This window comes from Homo sapiens, chromosome 6 (genome assembly GCF_000001405.40).
Source record: "Homo sapiens chromosome 6, GRCh38.p14 Primary Assembly".
Lineage (NCBI taxonomy): Eukaryota > Metazoa > Chordata > Mammalia > Primates > Hominidae > Homo > Homo sapiens.
The window spans coordinates 135,588,194-135,611,273 of NC_000006.12; the positions used below are offsets into that span (position 1 = coordinate 135,588,194).

A 23,080-nucleotide genomic window follows, 5' to 3' on the forward strand; every position below is an offset into this window, starting at 1 on the left:
AAAAGAGGTTTAATTGGCTCCCAGTTATGCGGGCTTTGCAGGAAGAATGATGCTGGCATTTGCTCAGCTTCTAGGGAGGCCTCAGGAAGCTTCCAATCATGGCAGAAGGTGAAGGGGGAGCAGGCACATCACATGGCAAAAGCAGGAGCAAGTGAGAGAGAGTGGGCCAGGGGAGGTGCCACACACTCTAAAATAACCAGATTCCATGATAACTCACTATTACAAAGACAGCACCGAACCATGAGGGATCTGCCCCCATGATCGAAACACCTTCTACCACGCCCCACCTCCAGCACTGGGGATTACAATTTAACATGAGATTTGGTTGGGCACAAATATCTGAACTATATCCTGCCCTGCACCTCCCAAATCTCATGTGATTCTTACATTGCAAAATACAATCATGCCTTCCCAACAGTCCCTTAAAGTCTTAACTCATTCCAACATTAACTCATTCCAAGTCCTTAACTCATTCCAACATTAACTCAAAGTCCAAAGTCTTGCCTTGAGACAAGGCAAATCCCTTCCACCTATGAGCTTGTAAAATAAAAAAAAAGTTAGTTACTTCCAAGATACAATGGGAGTATAGGCATTGGGCAAGTATTCCCATTCCAAAAGGGAGAAATCGGCCAAAAGAAAGGGGCTACAGGTCCCATGAAAGTTTGAAACCCAGCAGGGCAGTTGTTAAATCTTAAAGCTCTAAAATAATCTCCTTTGACTTCATTTTCCACATCCAGGGCACACTGGTGCAAGTGGAGGGCTCCCAAGGCCTTGGGCCGCTCCACCCCTGTGGCTTTGCAGGTTTCAGCTCCCAGGGTTGTTCTCACAGGTTGTTAAATACTTGCAGCTTTTCTAGACAGAGGGTGCAAGCTGCTAGTAGAGCTACCATTCTTGGGTCTGGAGGGTGGTGGCCTACTTCTCACAGATCCACTAGGCAGTGCCCTAGTGGGGACTTTGTTTGAAGGCTCCAGCCCACATTTCCCCTTTGGCACTGCCCCAGTAGAGGTTTACTCTGAGTGTTTTGCCCCTGGAGCAAGCTTCTGCCTGGAAGCTTTCTCAGGCATCCCCTGAAATCTAGACAGAGGCCCCCAAGCGTTCATCACACTCTCACATTCTGTACATCTACAGGCTTAACACCACATGGGAGCCACCCCAAGGCTTATATACTCCAAAGTGGCAGCTGGAGCTATACCTGGGCCTCTTTGAGCCACAGCTGGAGCTGAGCTGGAGCAGCCAGGATATAAGGAGCAGAGTCCCTGGGCCTGGCCCACATAACCGTTCTTCCCTTCTAGGTCTCTGGGCCTGTGATGAGAGGGGTTGCTGTGAAGGTCTCTGAAATGCCTTTGAGGCTTTTTTCTTGTTGTATTTGTTATCAGCACCTGGCTCCCTTTTAATTATGCAAATTTTTAATTTTGCATCAAATTAAACCAGCAAGTGGTTGCTCCATAGCCTGCTTGAATTCTCCCTAAAAAGCTTTTTCTTTCTCTGCCACATGGCCAGGCTGTAAATTTTTCAAACTTTCATGCTCTGATTTCCTTTTAAATATTAGGTTGATGCCAAACAATCACAGTTTGCAAAAACAATTACTTTTAATTGCAAAAACTGCAATTGCTTTTGCACCAACCTAATATAAATTCCAACTTTAGGTCATTTTTTTGCACCCACATCAGAGTGTAGGCTGTTAGAAGCCACCAGGCCACATCTTGAACACTTTGCTGCTTAGAAATTTTCTCTTCCAGATACCTTAAACCATCACTTTTTAGTTCAAACTTCCACAGATCCCTAGAGTATAAACAGAATGCAGCGAAGCTCTTTGCTAGGGCATAACATACATGAGCTTTGCTACAGTTCCCAATTAAGTTCCTCTTTTCCATCTGAGACCTTGACAGCCTGGCCTTCACTGTCCATATCTCTGTAAGCATTTTGGTCACAACCATTTAACCAATCTCTCAGAAATTCCAAACTTTCCCTTATCTACCTGTCTTCTTCTGAGCCCTGCAAACACTTCCAACCTCTGCCTGTTACTCAGTTCCAAAGTTGCTTCCACATTTTCAGGTATCTTTATAGTAATACTCCACTCCTGGTAACAATTTTCCTTATTAGGCCATTCTTGCCCTGCTATAAAGAAATACCTGAGACTGGGTAATTAATTTATTTATTTATTTTAAAAAGAGGTTTAATTAGCTCATAGTTCTGCAGGCTTTAGAAGAAACATGGCACTGGCATCTGCTTAGCTTCTAGGGAGGCCTCAGGAAGCTCACAGTCATGGTGGAAGACGAAAGGGGAGCAGCCAGGTCACATGGTGAAAGCAGGGGCAAGTGACAGAGAGAATAGGTAGGAAGGTGCCACACACTTTGAAATGAGCAGATCTCAGAAGAACTTACACTGACTATCATGAAGAGATCACCAAGCCATAAAGGATCCACTCCCATGATTCAAACATCTCCCACCAGTTTCCATCTCCAGCACTGTAGATTATAATTCAACATGAGATTTGGGCAGGGACAAATATTCAAACTATATCATGTAGGCTTTACAGGAAGCATGATGCTGGCATCTGCTTTCTAAGGAGGCCTTGGGAAGTTTTCAGTCATGGCAGAAGGTGAAAGAGGGAGCAGATGCATCACATGGCAAAATCTGGAGCAAGCAATAGAGAATGGTGGGGGAGGGGGACGACACACACTTTTAAATGACCAGATCTTGTGAGAAAGCACTATCATAAAGACAGCACCAAGCAATGAGGGATCTTCCCGCATGATCCAAACACCTCCCGCCAGACTCTACCTCCAACATAGAGGATTACAATTTAACATGAGATTTGAGCAGGGACAAATATCCAGACTATATCAATGCTGTTGGTCTGTGGACCATAATTTGAATAGCAAGGAGAGAGAGCTTTTAGAAATTACCAATACAAAGGCCAAGACACCCATATATTTGGATTCATGGTATCTAACACGGGGTCCAGAAATCTGCATGTTAACAGAAACAACATGTGATTGTAATGCATATAATCCACAGATGGGAGTTTGGTCTGGCTAGAAGGCAGTACTAGCCCTGATTGTGTACAGGATTAGAATCCCATGCAAATCATTAAGGCTGTAATTCCTGTGCCTCTGTAGTCTTAATATTTTTATAGCAGATGCTGATGTAAAAAACCACTATTCTGGGCATTCAGGAAAGAACACTATCATTGTATGAACTTAGTGAAATGATGTGGGAATTTTGAGTGTATGCACAATCATAAGGTTGTGGTTCATAGCTATTAATTGAATCTTTCTTAAAATGTTTTTTTGTATAAATATATGGGATACAAGTGTAATTTTGTTACATGGATAGATTGTATACCGGCTTGTATACTGGTGATGTCAGGGCTTTTAGGATATCCATCACCTGAATAATGTACATTGCATCCACTAAGTAATTTCCCATCATCCACCCACCCTCCCATCTCCCCACCCTTCATGTCTCCATTGTCTATCATTCCACACTCTATGTCCATGTGTACACATTGTTTAGCTCCTACTTATAAGTGAGAACATGCTCTCTTGCTACCAATTAATTTTTTCTTTAAGAATTTTCAGATTTTACTTTAGATATATGTGCAGGTTTATTATACAGGAATATAGCATGAGGCTAAGGTTTGGAGTATGGATCCTGTGGCTCAGATAGTGAGCATTTTACCCAATGGGTAGCTTTTCAACCCCCATTCCTCTTCCTCCCTTCCCACCTCTAGTAGTCTACACTTTCGATTGTTTCCAAATTTATGTCCATGTGTGCTCAATGTTTAGCTCCCACTTATAAGCGAGAATACATGGTATTTGGTTTTCTGTGTCTGTATTTGTTTGCTTAGGATTATGACCTGCAGCTGCATTCATGTTGCCGCAAAGGACATGATTTCATCCTTTTTATGGCTGTGTAGTATTACATCTTGTATATGTACCACATTTTCTTTATCCAATCTACCACTGATGGGCACCTGAGTTGATTCCATGTCTTTGCTATTGTGAATAGCACAGCAATTAACACATGACTGCATGTGTCTTTTTGGTAGAATGATATATTTTTCCTTGGGTATATACCTAATAATTGGATTGCTGGATTGAATGGTAGCTCTGTTTTAAGTTCTTTGAGAAATCTCCAGACTACTTTCCTCAGTGACTGGACTAATTTGCATTCCTACCAAGAGCATATGAGCGTTCCCTTTTCTCTGCAGCCTCACCAGCATATGTTGTTTTTTGACTTTTTAATAAGAGCCATTCTAACTGGGTGAGATGGTATCTTATTGTGGTTTTGATTTGCATTTCTCTGATGATTTGTAGTGCTGAGCATTTTTCCATGTATTTGTTGGCTACTTGAATGTCTTCCTTTAAGAAGTGTTTGTTCATATCCTTTGCCATTTTTTAATGGGGTTTTTTTTTGCTTGTTGATTTAAGTTCCCTATAGATTCTGTTAATAGGCCTTTGTCAGATGCATAGTTTGTGAATATTTTCTCCCATTCTGTAAGTTGTATGTTTACTCTGTTAATAGTTTCTTTTGCTTTGCAGAAGCTCTTTAGAAATAAGAAATGTTGCCAATTAAATAATGAGATACTAATTATGAGAAGACTTAATCTAATTTTAAAGATGTTAAAAATTTTTTAAATATGCCCTGGAGTCAATGAAGTATATTATTCAATTATGGAAATTCTCTGTACATAGAACAGTTCAGGAACACAAAGTTATCTAAAGAGAGTTTGGATTTTTACATAGCTCACCTATTTTTTATTATAATGTTTCTCATATGGACAATGTATAGTCAAGGTGAAAACACAGTTCTAATTCTGTTCAGGGAAAAAAATAGTAGAAATTAGTTTCCTCCATTCTGTTCTATATTACTATTTAAATTTAGTTTGTTAAAGGCTTAAAGTTTAACTTCACAAACATACAAAATCATAGTTTTTTGTTAAATAACAACATTTGAATTGTATAAATATATTATTGTATTTCTTAATTTATAAACTATATTAGCAACTAGAAAGAAAAAAAAATGACTTAGAAGATATTTTACACATTTACTTACATTCTTTATGCAACCTGAACCCTCATCTCTTTTTAACATTAGGGATGACAGTGGGTGGACAGTGGGTGGATCTGAATTTTTAAAGTTATTCTCTAGCAACTAGAGGAAAAATCTTACCAGATTATATAGGCTAGAACTCTTGATTGAGAAGACAGAGTATTATTAAGGTTCTGAAAGAAGAGCTTTTCATTATTCACCAGCAGGTTTTACTATCTAAAATAGAATTACATGAATTTGTAAAATTTGTCACCAAAAGCTTCATCTACTTGTAAATAAAAAAATCCTCTCAATTTTTGGCCAGGTGCAGTGGCTTACACCTGTAATCCCAGCACTTTGGGAAGCTGAGGTAGATGGAGCTCTTGAGCCCAGGAGTTCTAAACCAGCTTGGGCAACATGGCAAAATCCCGTCTCTACAATAACTGCACCCTTAAAAAAATAGCTGGTGGTGTATGCCTATAGTCCCAGCTACTTGGGAGACTGAGGTGGGAAGATCACTTGGGCTCTGGAGTTCAAGGCGATACTGAGCTGTGATTATGCCACTGCACTCCAGCCTGGGCAACAGAGCAAGACCTGTCTCAAAAAATAAATAAATAAATATATAAATATATAAAATAAAAAAATAAAACTTCTGTCAATTTTGGATAGGTATAAACATCATGAAAAATAGTTTGAAAATTTATAACTGAGAAGTTGCTGAAAATCCTTGATCGGATCTCTGCTTGCAATTTCTGCATAAAAGATTTTGAGAATATATGCAATGCAAAATAAAGCATTCCATATTTTAAAAGAAAAATATTTTCTTGTCTTAACTATGTATACTTTTTTTATTTGAGAGAAGTTGCTCAAATATAATATAGTTGTTGACTCAAGAGAATCAATAAAAAAAATCTACTGAATAAATAACACAGTTTATAAAATGGTTAGTTATGACATCATTGCCTTCCTCATACAAAGAATGACCTGTTAGAAATTCTAATAAAAAAGAATCCTCTTGTAGTAGCAACAAAAATTATAAAATGCCTAAGAACAAATTTTAATAGAGATATAGAGGCCCTATACAGTTAAAAATTCCAAAATGTTAATAATGAGATTATAATACTTGAATAATTTTTTAAAATACGTTTAATTTTTCCATAGGTTATTGGGGTACAGGTGGTATTTAGTTACATGAGTAAGTTCTTCAGTGGTGATTTGTGAGATTTTGGTCCACCCATCACTCGAGCAGTATACACTGCACCCTATTGATAGTCTTTTATCCCTTCTCCCCTCCTACCTTTCCCCTCAAGTCCCCAAAGTCCATTGTATCATTCTTATGCCTTTGCGTCCTCATAGCTTAGCTCCTATATAGCAGTGAGAACATACGATGTTTGGTTTTTTATTCCTGAGTTACTTCACTAAAATAATAGTCGTCAATCTCATCCAGGTTGCTGCAAATGCCGTTAATTCATTCCTTTTGATGGATGAGTAGTATTCCATCGTATAAATATATATACCACAGTTTCTTTATCCACTCGTTGATTGATGGGAATTTAGGTTGGTTCCATGATTTTGCAATTGCGAATTGTGCTGCTATAAACATGTGTGTGCAAGTATCTTTTTCATATAATGACTTCTTTTCCTCTGGGTAGATACCCAGTAGAGGAACTGCTGGATCAAATGGTAGTTCTACTTTTAGCTCTTTAAGGAATCTCCACACTGTTTTCTATAGCAGTTGTACTGGTTTACATTCCCACCAGCAGTGTAGAAGTGTTCCTTGATCACCACATCCATGCCAACATCTATTGTTTTTTGATTTTTTGATTATGGCCATTCTTGCCGGAGTAAGGTGGTATCACATTGTAGTTTTGATTTGCATTTCCCTGATCATTAGTGATGTTGGGCATTTTGTCATATGTTTGTTGTCCATTTGCATATCTTCTTTTGAGAATTGTCTATTCATTCCTTAGCCCACTTTTTGATGGGATTGTTTGTTTCTTTTTTTGCTGATTTGTTTGAATTCATTGTGATTCTGGATATTAGTCCTTTGTCAAATGTATAGGTTGTGAAGATTTTTTCCTACTCTGTGGGTTGTCTGTTTACTCTGCTGACTGTTCCTTTTGCTGTGCAAAAGCTCTTTAGTTTAATTAAGTCCCAGATGTTTATCTTTGTTTTTATCGTATTTGCTTTTGGGTTCTTGATCATGAAATCTTTGCCTAAGCCAATGTCTAGAAGGGTTTTTCTGATGTTATATTCTAGAATTTTTATAGTTTATAGTTTTATAGTTATACTTAAGTCCTTAATTCATCCTGTGTTGATTTTTGTATAAGGTGAAAGACGAGGATCCAATTTCATTCTCCTACATGTAGCTAGCCAATTATCCCAGCACCATTTGTTGAAAAGGGTGTCCTTTCCCCACTTTATGTTTTTATTTGCCTTGTTGAAGGTCAGTTGGCTGTAAGTATTTGGGTTTATTTCTGGGTTCTCTATTCTATTCCACTGGTCTATGTGCCTATTTTTATACCAGTGCCATGCTACTTTGGTGACTATGGTCATATAGTATAGTTTGAAATCGGGTAGTGTGATGCTTCTAGATTTGTTCTTTTTGCTTAGTCTTGTTTTGGCTATGTGGGCTCTTTTTTTGTTCCATGTGAATTTTAGAATAGTTTTTTTCTGGCCAGGTGCAGTGGCCCACACCTGCAATCCCAGCACTTTGGGAGGCTGAGGCAGAGGGATCACCTGAGGTCAGGAGTTTGAGACCAGCCTGGCCAACATGGCAAAACTCTGTCTCTACTAAAATTACAAAAATTAGCCAGGTGTGGTGGTGGGCACCTGTAATTCCAGCTACTGGGGAGGCTGAGGCAGGAGAATAGCTTGAGCCCAGGCGCCAGAGGTTGCAGTGAGCTGAGATTACACCATTGCACTCCAGCCTGGTGACAACCATGAGACTCTGTCTCAAAAAAACAAAACAAAACAAAACAAAAAACCAAAAAGAATAGTTTTTCTAATTCTGTAAAGAATGATGGTGGTATTTTGATAGGGGTTGCGTTAAATTTGTCGATTGCTTTTGGCAGTGTGGTCATTTTCACAATATTGATTCTACCTATCCATGAGCATGTGATATGTTTCCATTTGTTTGTGTCATCTATGAATTTTTTCAGCAGCGTTTTATAGTTTTCCTTGTAGAGGTCTTTCACCACTTGGTTAGTATATTTCTAAGTTTTTTTTTTTGCAGCTGTTGTAAAAGGGGTTGAGTTCTTGATTTGATTCTCTGCTTGGTTGCTGTTGGTGTACAGGAGACCTTCTGATTTGTGTATGTTAATCTTGTATCCAGAAACTTTGCTGAATTCTTTGATCAGTTCTAGGACCTTTCTGGAGGAGTCTTTAGGGTTTTCAAGGTAAAGGATCATATCATCAGCAAACAGTGACAGTTTGACTTCCCGTTTACCAATTTGGATGTCCTTTATTTCTTTCTCTTGTCTGATTGCTCTGGCTAGGACTTCCAGTAGTGTGTTGAAGAGTAGTGGTGGGAGTGGGCATCCTTGCCTTGTTCCAATTATGAGAGGAAATGCTTTCAACTTTTCCCCATTCAGTATTATGTTGGCTCTGGGTTTGTCATAGATAGTTTTATTACATTGAGGTATGTCCCTTATATGCCGATTTTGCTGAGAGTTTTAAGAATTTTAATCATAAAGGGATGCTGGATTTTGTCAAATGCTTTTTCTGCATTTATTGAGATGATCATGTGATTTTTGTTTTTAATTCTGTTTATGTGGTGTATCACATTTATTGACTTGCATGTGTTAAACTATCCCTGCGTTCCTGGTATAAAACCCACTTAATCATGGTGGATTATCTTTTTGATATGTTGTTGGATTTGGTTAGCTACTATTTCGTTAAGGATTTTAGCATCTGTGTTCTTCAGGGATATCTTCAGGGTCTGTAGTTTTTTTTTTTTTCTTTCTTTTTTTGGTTATGTCCCTCCCTGGTTTTGGTATTAGGGTGATGCTGGCTTCATAGAATGAATTAGAAAGGGTTCCCTCTTTCTCTATCTTGTGAAATAGCATCAATAGGATTGGTACCAATTCTTCTTTGAATGTCTGGTAGAATTCTGCTGTGAATCCATCTGGCCCTGGACTTTATTTTGTTGGTAATTTTTAAATTACCATTTCAATCTTGCTGCTTGTTATTGGCCTGTTTAGGGTATCTATTTCTTCCTGATTTAACCTTGGAGGTTTGTATTTTTCTAGGAATTTATTCATCTCTTCTAGGTTTTCAAATTTATGTGCATAAAGGTATCTCATAGTAGCCTTGAATGATCTTTTGTATTTCTGTGGTGTCAGTTGTAATATCTCCCGTTTTGTTTCTTATTGAGGTTATTTGGATTTTCTCTCTTCTTTTCTTGGTTGATCTTGCTAATGATATATCAATTTTATTTATCTTTTCAAAGTACCAGCTGTTTGTGTTTCATTTATCTATTGTATTTTTCTTGTTTCAATTTCATTTAGTTCTGCTCTGATCTTGGTTATTTTCTTTCTTCTACTGAGTTTTGGTTTGGTTTGTTCTTGTTTCTCTAGTTCCTTGAGGTGTGACCTTAAATGTCAGTTTGTGCTCTTTGAGTCTTTTTGATGTAGGCATTTAGGGCTATGAACTTTCCTCTTAGCACTGCCTTTGCTGTATCTCAGAGGTTTTGATAGATTGTGTCACTATTGTCATTCAGTTCAAAGAATTTTTAAATTTCCATCGTGATTTTATTTTTGACCCAATGATCATTCGGGACCAGGTTATTTAATTTCCATGTATTTACATGGTTTTGAAGGTTCCTTTTGGAGTTGATTTCCAGTTTTATTCCGCTGTAGTCTGAGAGAGTGCTTGATATAATTTCAATTTTCTTAAATTTATTGAGGCTCATTTTGTGGCCTATTGAATAGGCCACATGTGCTGTTGAATAGAATGTGTATTCTGCAGTTGTTGAATGAAATGTTCTGTATATATCTGTTAAGTCCATTCATTCCAAGATATGGTTTAAATCCATTGTTTCTTTGTTGACTTCCTGTCTTGATGACCTATCTAGTGCTGTCAGTGGAGTATTAAAGTCCCCCACTATTATTGTGTTGCTGTCTATCTCATTTCTTAGGTCTATTAGTAATTGCTTTATAAATTTGGGAGCTCCAGTGTTAGGTGCATATATGTTTAGGATTGTGATATTTTCCTGTTGGACAAGGCCTTTTACCATTATATAATGTCCCTCTTTGCCTATTTTTTCACTGCTGTTGCTTTAAAGTTGGTTTTGTCTGATATAAGAATAGCTACCTCTGCTCGCTTTTGGTGTCCATTTGCATGAAACGACTTGTTCCACCCCTTTACTTTAAGTTTATGTGAGTCCTTATGTATTAGGTGAGTCTCTTGAAGGCAGCAGATAGTTGGTTGGTGAATTCTTATCCATTCTACAGTTCTGTATCTTTTAAGTGGAGCATTTAGGCCATTTACATTCAATGTTAATATTGAGATGTGAGTTACCATTCCATTCATCGTGCTATTTGTTGCCTGTATACCTTGGTTTTTTGTTTTTGTTTTTGCTTTTTAAATTGTATTTTTATTGTATAGGTCCTGTGAGATTTATGCTTTAAAGAGGTTCTGTTTTGATGTGTTTCCAGGATTTGTTTCAAAATTTAGAGATCCTTTTAGCAGTTCTTATAGTGCCAGCTTGGTAGTGGCAAATTCTCTTAGCATTTGTTTGTCTGAAAAAGACTGTATCTTTTCTTCATATATGATGCTTAATTTCACTAGACACAAAATTCTGGGCTGATACTTGTTTTGTTTGAGGAGGCTGAAGACAGGGCCCCAATCCCTTCTAACTTGTAGGGTTTCTGCTGAGAAATCTGCTGTTAATCTGATAGGTTTTCCTTTATTGGTTACATGGTGCTTTTACCTCACAGCTCTTAAGAGTCTTTCCTTTGCCTTAACTTTAGATAACCTGATGACAATGTGTCTAGGCGATGATTTTTTTTTTGCAATAAATTTCCCGGGTGCTTTTCGTGGCTTCTTTTATTTGGATGTCTGGGTCTGTAGCAAGGCTGGGCCGTTTTCCTCTGTTATTCCCCTAAATATATTTTCCAAATTTTTTATTTCTCTTCTTTTGCAGGAACAGTGATTATTCTTAGGTTTGGTTGTTTAGCATAATCCCAGATTTCTTGGAATAAGAATATTTTCTTATTCTTTTTTCTTTGTCTTTATTGGATTGGGTTAATTCAAAGACTTTTGAGCTCTGAATTTCTTTTTTTCTACTTGTTCAATTCTGTTGCTGAGACTTTCCAGAGCATTTTGCATTTCTATATGTGTATCCAATGTTTCCTTAAGTTTTTATTGTTTTTTCTTTATGCTATAGATTTCCTTGAATATTTCTCCCTTCACTTCTTTTATTGTTTTTTGGATTTCCTTGCATTGGGCTTTGCCTTTCTCTGGTGCCTCCCTGATTAGCTTAATAACTAACCTCCTGAATTCTTTTTCAGGTAAATCAGAGATTTATTCTTAGTTTGGATCCATTGCTGGTGAGCTAGTGTGATTTTGGGGGATGTTAAAGAGCCTTGTTTTGTCACATTACCAGAGTTGTTTTTCTGTTTCTTTCTCATTTGGGTAGCCTCTGTCAGAGGGAAGGTCTAGGGCTGAAGGCTGTTTTCAGATTCTTTTGTCCTACGAGGTGTTCCCTGGATGTAGTACTCTCCCCGTTTACCTATGGGTGTGGCTTCCTGAGCAGAGCTGTAGAGATTATTATTTCTCTTCTGGGTCTGGCCACCAATATGTCTTCCAGGCTCTGGGCTGGTACTGGGGGTTGTCTGCACAGAGCCCTGTGATGTGAACTGTCTATGGATCTCACAGCCGTGGATACCAGCACCTGTTCTGGTGGAGGTGGCAGGGGGGTGAAACAGACTCTGTGAGGGCTCTTAGCTTTGATGGTTTAATGCTCTGTTTTTGTGCTGGTTGGCCTCCGAGGCCAGGAGGTGGTGCTTTCCAGAGAGCATCAGCTGTAGTAGTATGGAGAGGAACTGGCAGTGGGCCAGGCCCTTGAGCTCCCAAGAGTATATACCCTTTGTCTTCAGCTACCAGGGTGGGTAGTGAAGGACCATCTGATGGGGGCAGGGTAGGCATGTCTGAGCTCAGACTCTCCTTGGGCGGGTCTTGCTGTGGCTGCTGTGGGGGATGCGGATGAGATTTCCAGGTCAATGAAATTGTGTACCTAGGAGAATTATGGCTGCCTCTGCTGAGTCATGCAAGTTGTCAGGGAAGTGGAGGAAAGCCGGCAGTCATAGGCTTCACCCAGCTCCCATGCAATCTGAAGGGCCAGTCTCACTCCCATTTTGCCCCTGATAGAGCACTGGGTCTGTTTCCAGATAGTGGGGAAGCAGAGCTGAGAGCTTGTCCCAGACTACCTGCCTCCAAGCTGCAGAAGAAAAGGAGGCTTCTCAACTGGTTCAAATTGTTACGAAGTTCAGCTGGAGACTTCCTTCTCCCTGTGGCATTTATCCCGTGCCACTGGACCCCCTCCCAAAGTATCCCTGTGACACTCCCATGGTCTTTCCTGCTGCTTCCTCTACCCCTGTATTTCACTGGGCTCTCTAAATTGATTCAGCTCCAGTTAAGGTTGGAATCTTCTCCCACAGACTAGACTTTTAGTTTCCCCAGTGTGGGTGTGAGTTTAGGGGTGGAGGATCTCCCTTTCCCACTTCCGCAGTTTGGGCACTCACAGTATGTGGGGTGACTTCTGGGTCCTGCAGGAGCAGTCCGTTTCCTTCAGAAGGTCTGTGGGTCCTCTTGGGATTCCTGATTTATTCCTGCAGTCATTCTGGAGCTAAAACTCATGATGCAAGCCTCCACATGCTGCTGTATCCATGCGAGTCCAAGCTGCAATCTAGTCCTGCCTCCCATCTGCCATGACGATCCTAGGTATAGTCATATCTAATACCTGAATCATTTAGAATATATGTCATATCTCTAGATAAGAAGACTAAATATCATAAAATATCTATTTTCTCTAAATCAGATCCAAATGAATTTTTTTCAAAACTCAAATGCTTTTAAAATTAATTTGCAAGAATAAATTTCTAAAATGTCATACACAATTTTTGAATTAAAACAAATAATCAGTGTAGACTTCCTCACTAAAATTTAAAATTTCATAAAGTTTATCTGATAAAAAATAACTCACAGGAGCACTTGCATAGAAAAAGACTAATAACTCAGTGACACACAATATATAGGAACAAATGCAAGCATTTTGGGAGAATTTAGTACATGATGCACATATTATTTAAAATTGGTGGAATTAAGATGAATTATTCAGCAAATGTATTGGAATAACTGGCTATTAAAAATAACATTCAATTTTATACTTCATATTTTTACTCCAAAATATATTCCAGATATAATAAATATTTAAGTGTAAACCCAGAAACAATGTAAGTACTAAAAGGAAATATAGGTGAATATTTTTAAAATCTTGGGATGGGAGGAAGGTCTTTCAACGTAGGTGATCAAGGACAAAGTTAATAAGAATATTGATAGATTTAACTGAATGATTTTATAATCTTTGCACTAAAATCAGCATATAAGGATAAAATACAAATAATATGCTAAGAAAATATTTCAGGGTATATAACAGATGAGATGCATCATTAATAGGAGTTATTACAAATTAATAATAAAGTTTACAATTCTAACAAAAATGATCAGTGGCATGAGCAGGGAAGCCATAAAAGAAATGTAAAGGCACAAAAAACATGAAAAGTAACCAAATACACTGAAATTAATGGAGATCTTGTATCAGTTAGCTATTTTTGTGTAACAAACATTCCCAAAACTCAATGGTTACAACAGCAATTATCTGTTGTAATAATTTACATTTCTTTTTGTTGTCTGAGGGTTTGTTGGCTGCTTTAGGATGAGCTTAACTGAGCTTGCTCTTGTTTCTGTATGCAGGCTGGGGGCCTGTCTCTAAGTTGGGCTTTCCTGGGACAATTTAGCTGGGGCATTCCTGCTCCATTTGTCTTTCATACTCTGCAAGGGCTCCATGTATTTCTCATCCTTTTTCTGGGACCAATGAGCCAGCCCAAGCATGTCCTTCTTGTGGAAATGGCAGAAGTACAAGAGTGCAAGCCTAGCTGGACAAGTGTTTCTTAAGCTGCTGCTTGTGTCACATATGCTAACATCCCATTGGCTAAATGGCAATTACATGACCAAACTCAGAATCAAGGGGAAAGGAAATATATCTTGTCTTTTAATAGGACAAACTAAAAAGTCATATGATAAAGGACATGGATACAAGCAAGTGCAAAGATTTGGGGCCATTAATACAATATACCAGATGCCGTCTTTTGCACGTTGGTTAGTAGAAGTGTTTTGTTTTTGTTTTTTTTTTTTTTAACCTTGCTTGTAATAGTCAGTGTCGTCAAGAGTGTTAGGAAATGAGTACTCCCACACACTGCTGAAGGTGGGAGTCTAAATGGCTAATTGGAGTGACAATTTGAGTGTGTGTTTCAAAATTTTATTAAAGGTGTGTGTTTTGGGCTCAATACTTCCATTTTTAAGAATTTACTACAGGAAAATAATTAGGCAAATGTGCAAAGGTTGTATAAGTATAAACCTGGTTAATATAGAGCCAGTTGTCATGGCAGCAGGAGGCCATGTGGAGCAGCGGCTGCCATCAATCCTGGCTGCAGCAGAGAGGTGTGGCTTTGGCTGTATGCTTCATGGAACTGGTGGGAACTGGGAACAAGTGGGAGCCCTGCCCCTTCTGAGTTGGGGCAGGAGCTCCCTGGGTGCCACTGAAGATGCCCAAGCCACAGCAGTAGACCTGGGCATTCCTGTGCTCTTTGGGCCCAGGAGCAGGCGGGAGGCTCACCCTCCTGGGCATAGCTGCAGCCACTCAAACTGTGGCTGCAGGCCCATGCCTCCTGCTCCATGGAGCAGGCAGGAGCCCCATCCCCCAGAGTGTGGCTGCAGCTACCCAAACCGTGGCTGTAGACCCAGGCATCTGTGCACTCTTAGGCGGTCTTGAGAAGGCCCCCACTGATCTTACGGGCTCAGAAGTACCTGTTCCCACTGCCTGGTTTCTCTCTGCTGTTAGCACCTGCTTCTTTCTTGGAGCAAAGATAGGGCCAAGCCCAGGCACTGTCACAGCCCAGCTGGGTGTGTGCACACTTGGGGCAGTGCTGACATGCCAGCCCCTGGTCACCTTAGCCCCCTCCAGACTTTGGGCACTGATGAGCATAGGAGGAAAGCTGAGGCAGGCTGAGTGCAGCTCAGTGCTGGCCTGCAGGTACCCCTTGGCTTCTACAGCCTGGGTGCCCTGAATGACAGATTGAGGTAGACAGGTTACTGGATGGAAGGGGGCAGGTCACAGGTGAGGTCCCAGCCTTCAAAGAGAGCCTGAAGGCTGGGGACTAGGCTGCCAGTACCGCCGGACTGGAGTGGAAACTTGTGGTGCATTTTCCGGGCCTGCCCATGGCCACCCATGGACAAATTGGTGTACACTTCCTCCCCTCTGAGGCCCATAAAAACCCCTGGCTTAGCCAAAGCTTAGCAGATATTGAGGTGACCAGCTGCATAGAGGAGCAACACACTCTAGGGCCTCCTCTCTGCTGAGAGCTATAGAGACAATGAGATGACCTGCCTGCAGAGAGGAGCTACCCACTTTAGGGCCTCCTCTCTGCTGAGAGCCACAGAGATGAAGGAGAGATGACAGGGAGATGATGGGACTACCTGCCTGCAGAGAGGAGCACCCCATTCTAGGGCCTCTTCTCTGCTGAGAGCTGCACAGACAATGGGACGACCAGCTGCAGAGAGGAGCTACCTTCTCTGCTGATACCTGAATACTTGTCAGGATGACTTGCCTTGAATACTTGTCAGGATGACTTGCCTAGCAGAAAGGAGCAACCCTCTCTGCTAGAAGCTGAACACACTTTGGGGAAACCCTGGCTGTGGAAAGGAGCTGCCCTCTGAGGGTTTCCTCTGAGCCATTTTATTGCTCAGTAAACCTCCTCTTCACCTTGCTCACCCTACACTTTGCTGCATACCTCATTCTTCTTAGGTGTAGGACAAGAACTCGGGACCCACTGAATGAGGCTAAAAGAGCTGTAACACAAATGAGGCTGAGATATGCCCCATTGCTCACCACATTGCAAACAAAGAGAAGGAAAGAAGAGCTGCAGCCTTTCAGAGAGCCCAGACCTGTGAGCTCCCCAAGCCAGGGCTGTGACTCCCTCTTTGGGTTCCCGGCATTTCCAAGCTACTGGGCATCACCATGTTCCCTGGTGCCAGCTGCGGAAGCTGCTTTCGGTGCACCTGGTCCAGCCGCAGCCTTGTGGAAAGCCGACTCTCATGCTGGCACCTGGAGCTTCCTGCCTTGCTGCAGCAGCTGGCATGTCTGACTGCACAGTGGCTGGACCCCATGCTCACTCACATATCCCTTGTGCTCCACACAGTCTCCCTTGGCAGATGTGGGATCCAGGCTGGTAGTGTGAGCTGAGCGCATCCTGCCAGGCCAAGTGGGCGGAATGAGCCCAGCGGGCCTGAGTGAAACTCAAGGCAAAGGCATCACTGGCCACAGAGGTTTCTGGCCAGAAAAGTGACACCCCAAAGATCCTGTAACAGTTGCACATGTAAGGCTATACTTTTTAAAAAAGTTGACATCAATTTTGATTGATTGATTGATATTTCAGCCTGTTATATATTTTAAATATCACCTCTGAGTTCAATGATATTAATCACTAGATTGTTTATAATAGTAAACATTTGGAAAATTTCTAAGTTCCATTAATATAAAATTGATAAAAATAAATGTTGGTACATCCACACAATGGGTTGCTATACAACTGTTAAGATAATGATGCTTGTATTTATTGTCATGAAAGAAATCCATGCCATAATGATTAAATGTAAGGTAGGGGCTTGTTTCAATAATATATATGGTTGTATGTTCATTAAATATATGAAAAAGTATTTATCAGGGTATTTCTATGTGGAAAATTATGGGTGCTTTTATTTTCTTATTGTGCTTTTTAATGTTTTATTTGTAGTGTCATGCATTAACAGGCACTTTTTATGACCATTAAAAGACAGAAAGTCTACTTCTATTTTTGAAAAGTGATATTGAGAATTTAATTGTAATTAGTTTCAAGGAAAGCGTATGAGTAACAATACTCTGTTACAAAGTCAAAACATTCCGTAGAAAATAGCTATGAGTCTTAAAGGAAAGACTTCTCTAGTCATATCATAAATGATGTCTGTTTCCCTTTTGAGCAAAGAGACACAACTTAATAAAATTAATAGGGGAAACTCAAATGTATAGAAAATAGAATATGAGTAAGAAAGGCATGGATACTTTTATGCTGTTTATATACACATGTACACCCAGCCATGCTTTCTGTAAAAATAGTGCTTGCTTGGTTCTGTAAAAGGAGGAAATATTTCAGAGTTTATGGCAAAATCATTTTGGAAGTACAGAAGGTTGGTTTGGAAAGGATTACACATTTGTCATACTTTCTTTCATGCTTAATAAAAAAAGTGATTCTGATCTGATGAATGGAACATTGTTAGAAGTCAGAAAATATTACTGTTTCTCATTATACTTTTCATTTGTCACATGACTTTAATGAAGGACCCTCCTGTTAGCATGAGAGTCATTATCAACCAAAGGTATATAGAACGTTTCCTCTTTAATGCAGACATTTAACAAACTAATGAATACTAAAAATAAAACTCTCTAAAAATAATGTTGCTTATATACTGTGAGGATCTGCTAAATCTTTTCTGCTTTTGAATACACAGTAAGAAAATTAATTTAGAGCTTAATCAGCCATCATAAGCAGCAGCAGGTAATTTTATTTAATTTTTCAAAGCAATGAGAGACTATTGGAGTGGGAGCAGGCATGCAGGTAATAAAGAACTCTTTGATTTTTATTGAAACATCCATAATTTAAATGACAGGTTTTGCGGATTCAAGACTAGTGGTTTGCAGAGGGTGCTCTGCAGAGCCTCTTGGGTTCCATGACATTACCTTGGGGCCCACTGAGGGTGGTGGTTGGAAGAGGAGGAGGCTCCTGGCTCCCATGTCCACATCCTCCACTGTAGCTCTAATTTCATAGGTTTTGTATTTCAATGTTCTGTGTGAGTTGGCGTGAAAAATGAGTTCTATTGCAAAAATAGTTTTGAAAACCTTTAATTTGTTCCATCTCCACAGTGTGTAGATGAAGAAACAGATTCAAAGTAGACTCCTGCTCTATTTTAGTGATTATTAACTCCTGGTAGGTGTAAGAATGCACAAAATGCTTCAGTCATCACACCAATCCTGTTACCTAGGCTGAGTAAATATCAGCACCATTGTTTGCCAGATTAGGAAATGGACACTCAGAGGGTTTCAACAATCTGCCCACGAGATGGTATGCCTAACTCCTAGTCCTGCTTCTCCTCCTTCTATTCCTTCTTTAAAGTACTTTTTATCTGACCAGGCTGTGTGGTTCTCTATGTTTGTACATGTTCCAACCCAGAGAAGTTGTAGTGTATAATTGATAGTATTTTAAAATGATTCCACTGAAGCTGCCATTATTAGAAATGATTGATCTCTAAACAGCAGCACTATGTATGAATATGTCCAATAATGACAAACTCTAACCAGTAAGTGCTCAGAATAGTGTGAAAGTTTTATTTAGCAATTTTACAAGATTGGTGTGGAGAATATATACAAATTGCTTTCTGTGTTTTTCTTTTTTAGCAGGTTTTAATAAATGATATATTTATAATTTTAAAAGTTATATTAAAGACCTATAATTTGAACATTGTAGCATTGCAAGCATAAATGTTCTTTATGTTTACAAAAAACCTCAATGGTATTCTTGATTTTAAATTGGTCTTTGTGTATATTATATTCCTCTCAAGTGCACTAAATTTCTATAGATTCTGTATGTTCATTAAAAATATTTGCTCAGTTCAATTACAGTTATTGGGATTAGGGGTAGCGGGTGGGGAAAATGTGTAAGTTCCTGAGGCTTCCCTAAATGGGATGTCCTCTCTGTGGATTGAGACATGTCCAAAAACCCACATCGAACCTTCAAGGATCTATTACTTGAGGGGCCTGAGAGTCTATGAAAAACAGGCATTTTAAGAAGAGTCCTGGCTCAAATTTTGTTTCATATCTCGTCATATCAAAATAAATAAGAATAAAAAATTACAATAATTGTGTTATTTTTCTATGTGAATATATATACACACAGCAGATTTTATTTAACCATTTCCTCTGTTATTAAGGAACTTAAAACATTTAAGATATTTCCGAATCTTCGCCATTGTTTAAAATAACACTGAAATGAGCATCTGGGTGCATATGTAATTGCATTCATCTCTAATAATTTCCATTGGAAAGATTCCTATTAATGACATTGTCGTACTAATTTACTCTTTCATCAATTTAAAATAATCCTTATACTGCCAAATTTTACTAATATTGAATTATACATTATTTTACTAATATTGCTGATGAAAAATTGTGTCCTGGTGACTTTTTTTCATATATCTACCAGTATGTTTTTGTCATCTGTAAGTGGCATGGAGAGCTTATAATTTTTGACATCTCTGATTTATGTAAAATCATATATGGAATTAGAGAACCTATGACATTAAATTAGGTTATCTCTGGATTGAGAAATGGTGATATTTGTTTTCCTCATTCTTTTTGTGAGTTTCTGCCCATAAAATATTTTATAATAAAAATGCAAAAAAGATGAAGGTATCTTTTTTTACAAAACAGCATACAGTAAGACAAGATTCATGTGTATTATCTAACATTTATGAAATTTTATTATTAAGTGTTTTTAGAGGACTTATTCAACATATGAAGGATTTTAGTCAGTAGACACAGTGCCTCTTCACCTGCACTGGAGGCGTTGTTTTTCTTCTCTGTAGCAGGGTGAATGGGGTAGGATGGTAAAAATTTCCACTGAGAATGTAGCAAACTTGATGTCTTCAAAACAGCTCCAGCATTTGTGAGATGATGAATACTCCACATGAAAGAGGAGACACAGCGCAGTGGTTAGTGCACAGCCCTGGAGTCGAAATCCTTAGATATTACTCCAGGCTTTACCACTTCTTATGTGACCTTGAGCAAGATAAATTTTTTATGCCTCAGTTTCCTCATCTGTGAAATGGGGATATAAACAGAACCTATATCTTAAGGGTATTATAAAGATTAAATGAGGTAACTATGCAGAAAACGTTTAGAAATTCTGACAATAAATTGTTTTAAAATGGCAATTATAACTTTAGTAAGTGGTCTCATATTCTCTCTTTTTTTAAAAATTTTACTTTAAGTTCTGGGGTACATGTGCAGAACATGCAGGTTTGTTACATAGGTGTACATGTGCCTTAGCAGTGTGCTGATCACGGTCTTCTTATGCACATTTACCAATTTCAGTTTGTTGAAAGACACAATTATCAGATATTTGAATGTGGATGAGGTTTGTTGTAATTACAATTTCACTTGCCTTTTGTGAATGTTTCTGTCACACCAGGGCATGGGGATGACATGAACAAAGGCAGAGCAGTGGAAAAGCATAAACTTGTTCAGGGAATAGTAAAAAATCTAGGTAAATCCACAACATAATGCTATTGTAACATACTATTAATTATGTTAATTAAACAATTATTCATGTTTGGTCTTCATGTCAAGATGAAATATATTTAAATACTTGACTTTATAACATATATAATATTGATGTAATATCATAAAATATTTGTAAAATAAACACAGTTATATACCATGTAAATATATTTCATGTATTCATTCTAATCTACCGCCAAGTAGTAAAGTTTCAGATTTTTTTTTTTTTTTGAGACAGAGTCTTGCTCTGTTGCCCAGGCTGGAGTGCAATGGCATGATCTTGGCTCACTGCAACCTCCGCCTCCCAAGTTCAAGCAATTCTCGTGCCTCACCCTCCCGAGTGGCTGGGATTACAGGCGTGAGCCACTACGCCCCACTAATTTTGGTATTTTTAGTAGAGACGGGGTTTCGCCATGTTGGTCAGGCTGATCTCGAGCTCCCGACCTCAGATGATCCGCCTGCCTCGGCCTTCCAAAGTGCTGGGATTACAGGCATGAGCCACTGCGCCCAGCCTTGGATAATTTTTAACTCTGGAGGAGCAGAAATGAAGCACTGTCCGGAATAATTTTCCTACTAGAGAAGCAAGTGATGACCCTGCGTTACAAGGGGTTTATATGCTGGCCTAGTATCTATGTTCTCTAGATGGCAGTGGTAGGATCTCACTCCCATAACACCCAAGAGTCACTGCATTATAAGGAACCTAGAATTGCTTTCTTTTTTTTCCGAGACCGAGTTTCACTCTGTCACCCAGGCTGGAGTGCAGTGGCGTGATCTCGGCTCACTGCAACCTCCGCCTCCTGAGTTCAAGCAATTCTACTGCCTCCGCCTCCTGAGTAGCTAGGATTACAGGCGTGTGCCACCATGCCTGGCTAATTTTTGTATTTTGAGTAGAGACGGGGTTTCACCACATTGGTCAGGCTGGTCTCGAACTCCTGACCTCGTGATCCGCCCACCTCGGCCTCCCAAAATTCTGGGATTACAGGCAAGCGCCACCGTGCCCAGCCTAGAGTTGCTTTCTTAAAAGCATCCATTATGTATTAGAGAATACATTACAACATTTGCGATGAATAATCAAGCAAAGATTCAATATATCACCCTGTTTAAAGTGGAAATCCACCTCCAATGATTTTGCTGATAATGATAGAATGATATAATTTCAAAAATCATTCTTTTAATTTTTGCATTATAAAAATTTTTGGGCCATGTGCGGTGGCTCACGCCTGTAATCCTAGCACTTTGGGAGGCCTAGGCGGGTGGATCACTTGTGGTCAGGAGTTCAAGACCAGCCTGGCCAACATAGTGAAACCCCGTCTCTACCAAAAATACAAAAATTAGCCAGGCATGGTGGCGGGTGCCTGTAATCCAAGCTACTCTGTAGGCTGAGGCAGGAGAAACGCTTAAACCCAGGAGGCAGAAGTTGCAGTGAGCCGAGATTGTGCCACTGCACTCCAGCCTGGGAGACAGAGCAAGACTCCGTCTCGATAAATAAATAAATAAATAAATAAATAAATAAATAAATAAATAAATATTTGATATGAGTGATGGACTAAAAATCTCAACTAAATATTCCTGGGACTCTTCATTCTGTTCTCTAACAGAACCTTCAAAGTGTATTTTGGAAAAATTCCATTAACACGCTGCCTAGGCTGAAATAATTTCATGATCAGTTTCATTTTTGCACTCACCTTGTAAATCCAGACCTCCAGGCAGGTGTCGGGCAGTTATCAGTGGATTAATCTGGTCAGCTGCTTCTGGTTGCTGTTTTAAGGTTACTACCTAATGTGTACTTTTAGAGACTCTCCCTAGTGTGCTGTCACAAAGAAGTCGATTGGATTTTTATGTAAAGAAGGGCTCGGTGAGCCTCTAATCCTTAAATCATTCCTTTGACCACATTTTATTTCATTGTAAATGGAGATTACCACACAGAGGAATATCTGATGCTGTCTGGCTGATCCATTTCTAACTAAACAATTAAGTCACTTGTATGTCAGAGCATACTCTCAGCAACTGGCATTTCCATTACTTCAGGCTTACCCTGAGACTATTTTGGAAATATTTCATCTTCTGCTATTTTTTTTCTAGACATTTGTTATTTTATTTTTAGATTGACAGACAAAATTGTATATCTTCATCTGTACAACGTGATGTTTTGAAGTGCATATGCATTGTGAAATGAATGAATGTAGCTAATTAACGTATGCATTACCTCACATAATCATCACGTTTTTGTGGTGAGGACACTTAACATCCACTCTCTGAGCATTTTGCAGGAATACAATATATTGTTATTAACTCTGGTTACAATGTTGTACAATAGAACTCTTCAATTTATTCCTTCTATTTAACTGAAATCTTGTACCCTTTGACCAATGTCACCCCAAGCACCCCACCTGC

The 23,080-nt window shown here is 39.2% G+C and overlaps 1 long non-coding RNA gene across 4 annotated transcripts in view, besides 3 other annotated features; it reads left to right on the forward strand.

Moving 5' to 3' along the window:
* Positions 1-23,080, forward strand: part of AHI1-DT (AHI1 divergent transcript) — a 218,255-nt gene that overhangs the window by 90,393 nt on the left and 104,782 nt on the right. The gene's annotated exons all lie outside the window — the stretch shown is intronic.
* Positions 11,883-13,082: an enhancer, noted in NCBI's record as "MED14-independent group 3 enhancer chr6:135921214-135922413 (GRCh37/hg19 assembly coordinates)". NCBI's record gives its function as "activates an origin of replication core promoter dependent on BRD2, BRD4, P300/CBP and CDK7 cofactors, and independent of MED14, by STARR-seq in HCT116 cells {active_cell/tissue: HCT116}" and the evidence as "EXISTENCE:reporter gene assay evidence [ECO:0000049][PMID:35650434]".
* Positions 12,118-12,617: an enhancer, noted in NCBI's record as "H3K27ac hESC enhancer chr6:135921449-135921948 (GRCh37/hg19 assembly coordinates)". NCBI's record gives its function as "activates a minimal SCP1, AML or CMV promoter by ChIP-STARR-seq in primed H9 embryonic stem cells {active_cell/tissue: H9 hESC(primed)}" and the evidence as "EXISTENCE:reporter gene assay evidence [ECO:0000049][PMID:30033119]".
* Positions 12,414-12,611: a silencer, noted in NCBI's record as "fragment chr6:135921745-135921942 (GRCh37/hg19 assembly coordinates)". NCBI's record gives its function as "represses an EF-1alpha promoter that drives an FKBP-Casp9 reporter gene in an ReSE screen in K562 erythroleukemia cells {active_cell/tissue: K562}" and the evidence as "EXISTENCE:reporter gene assay evidence [ECO:0000049][PMID:32094911]".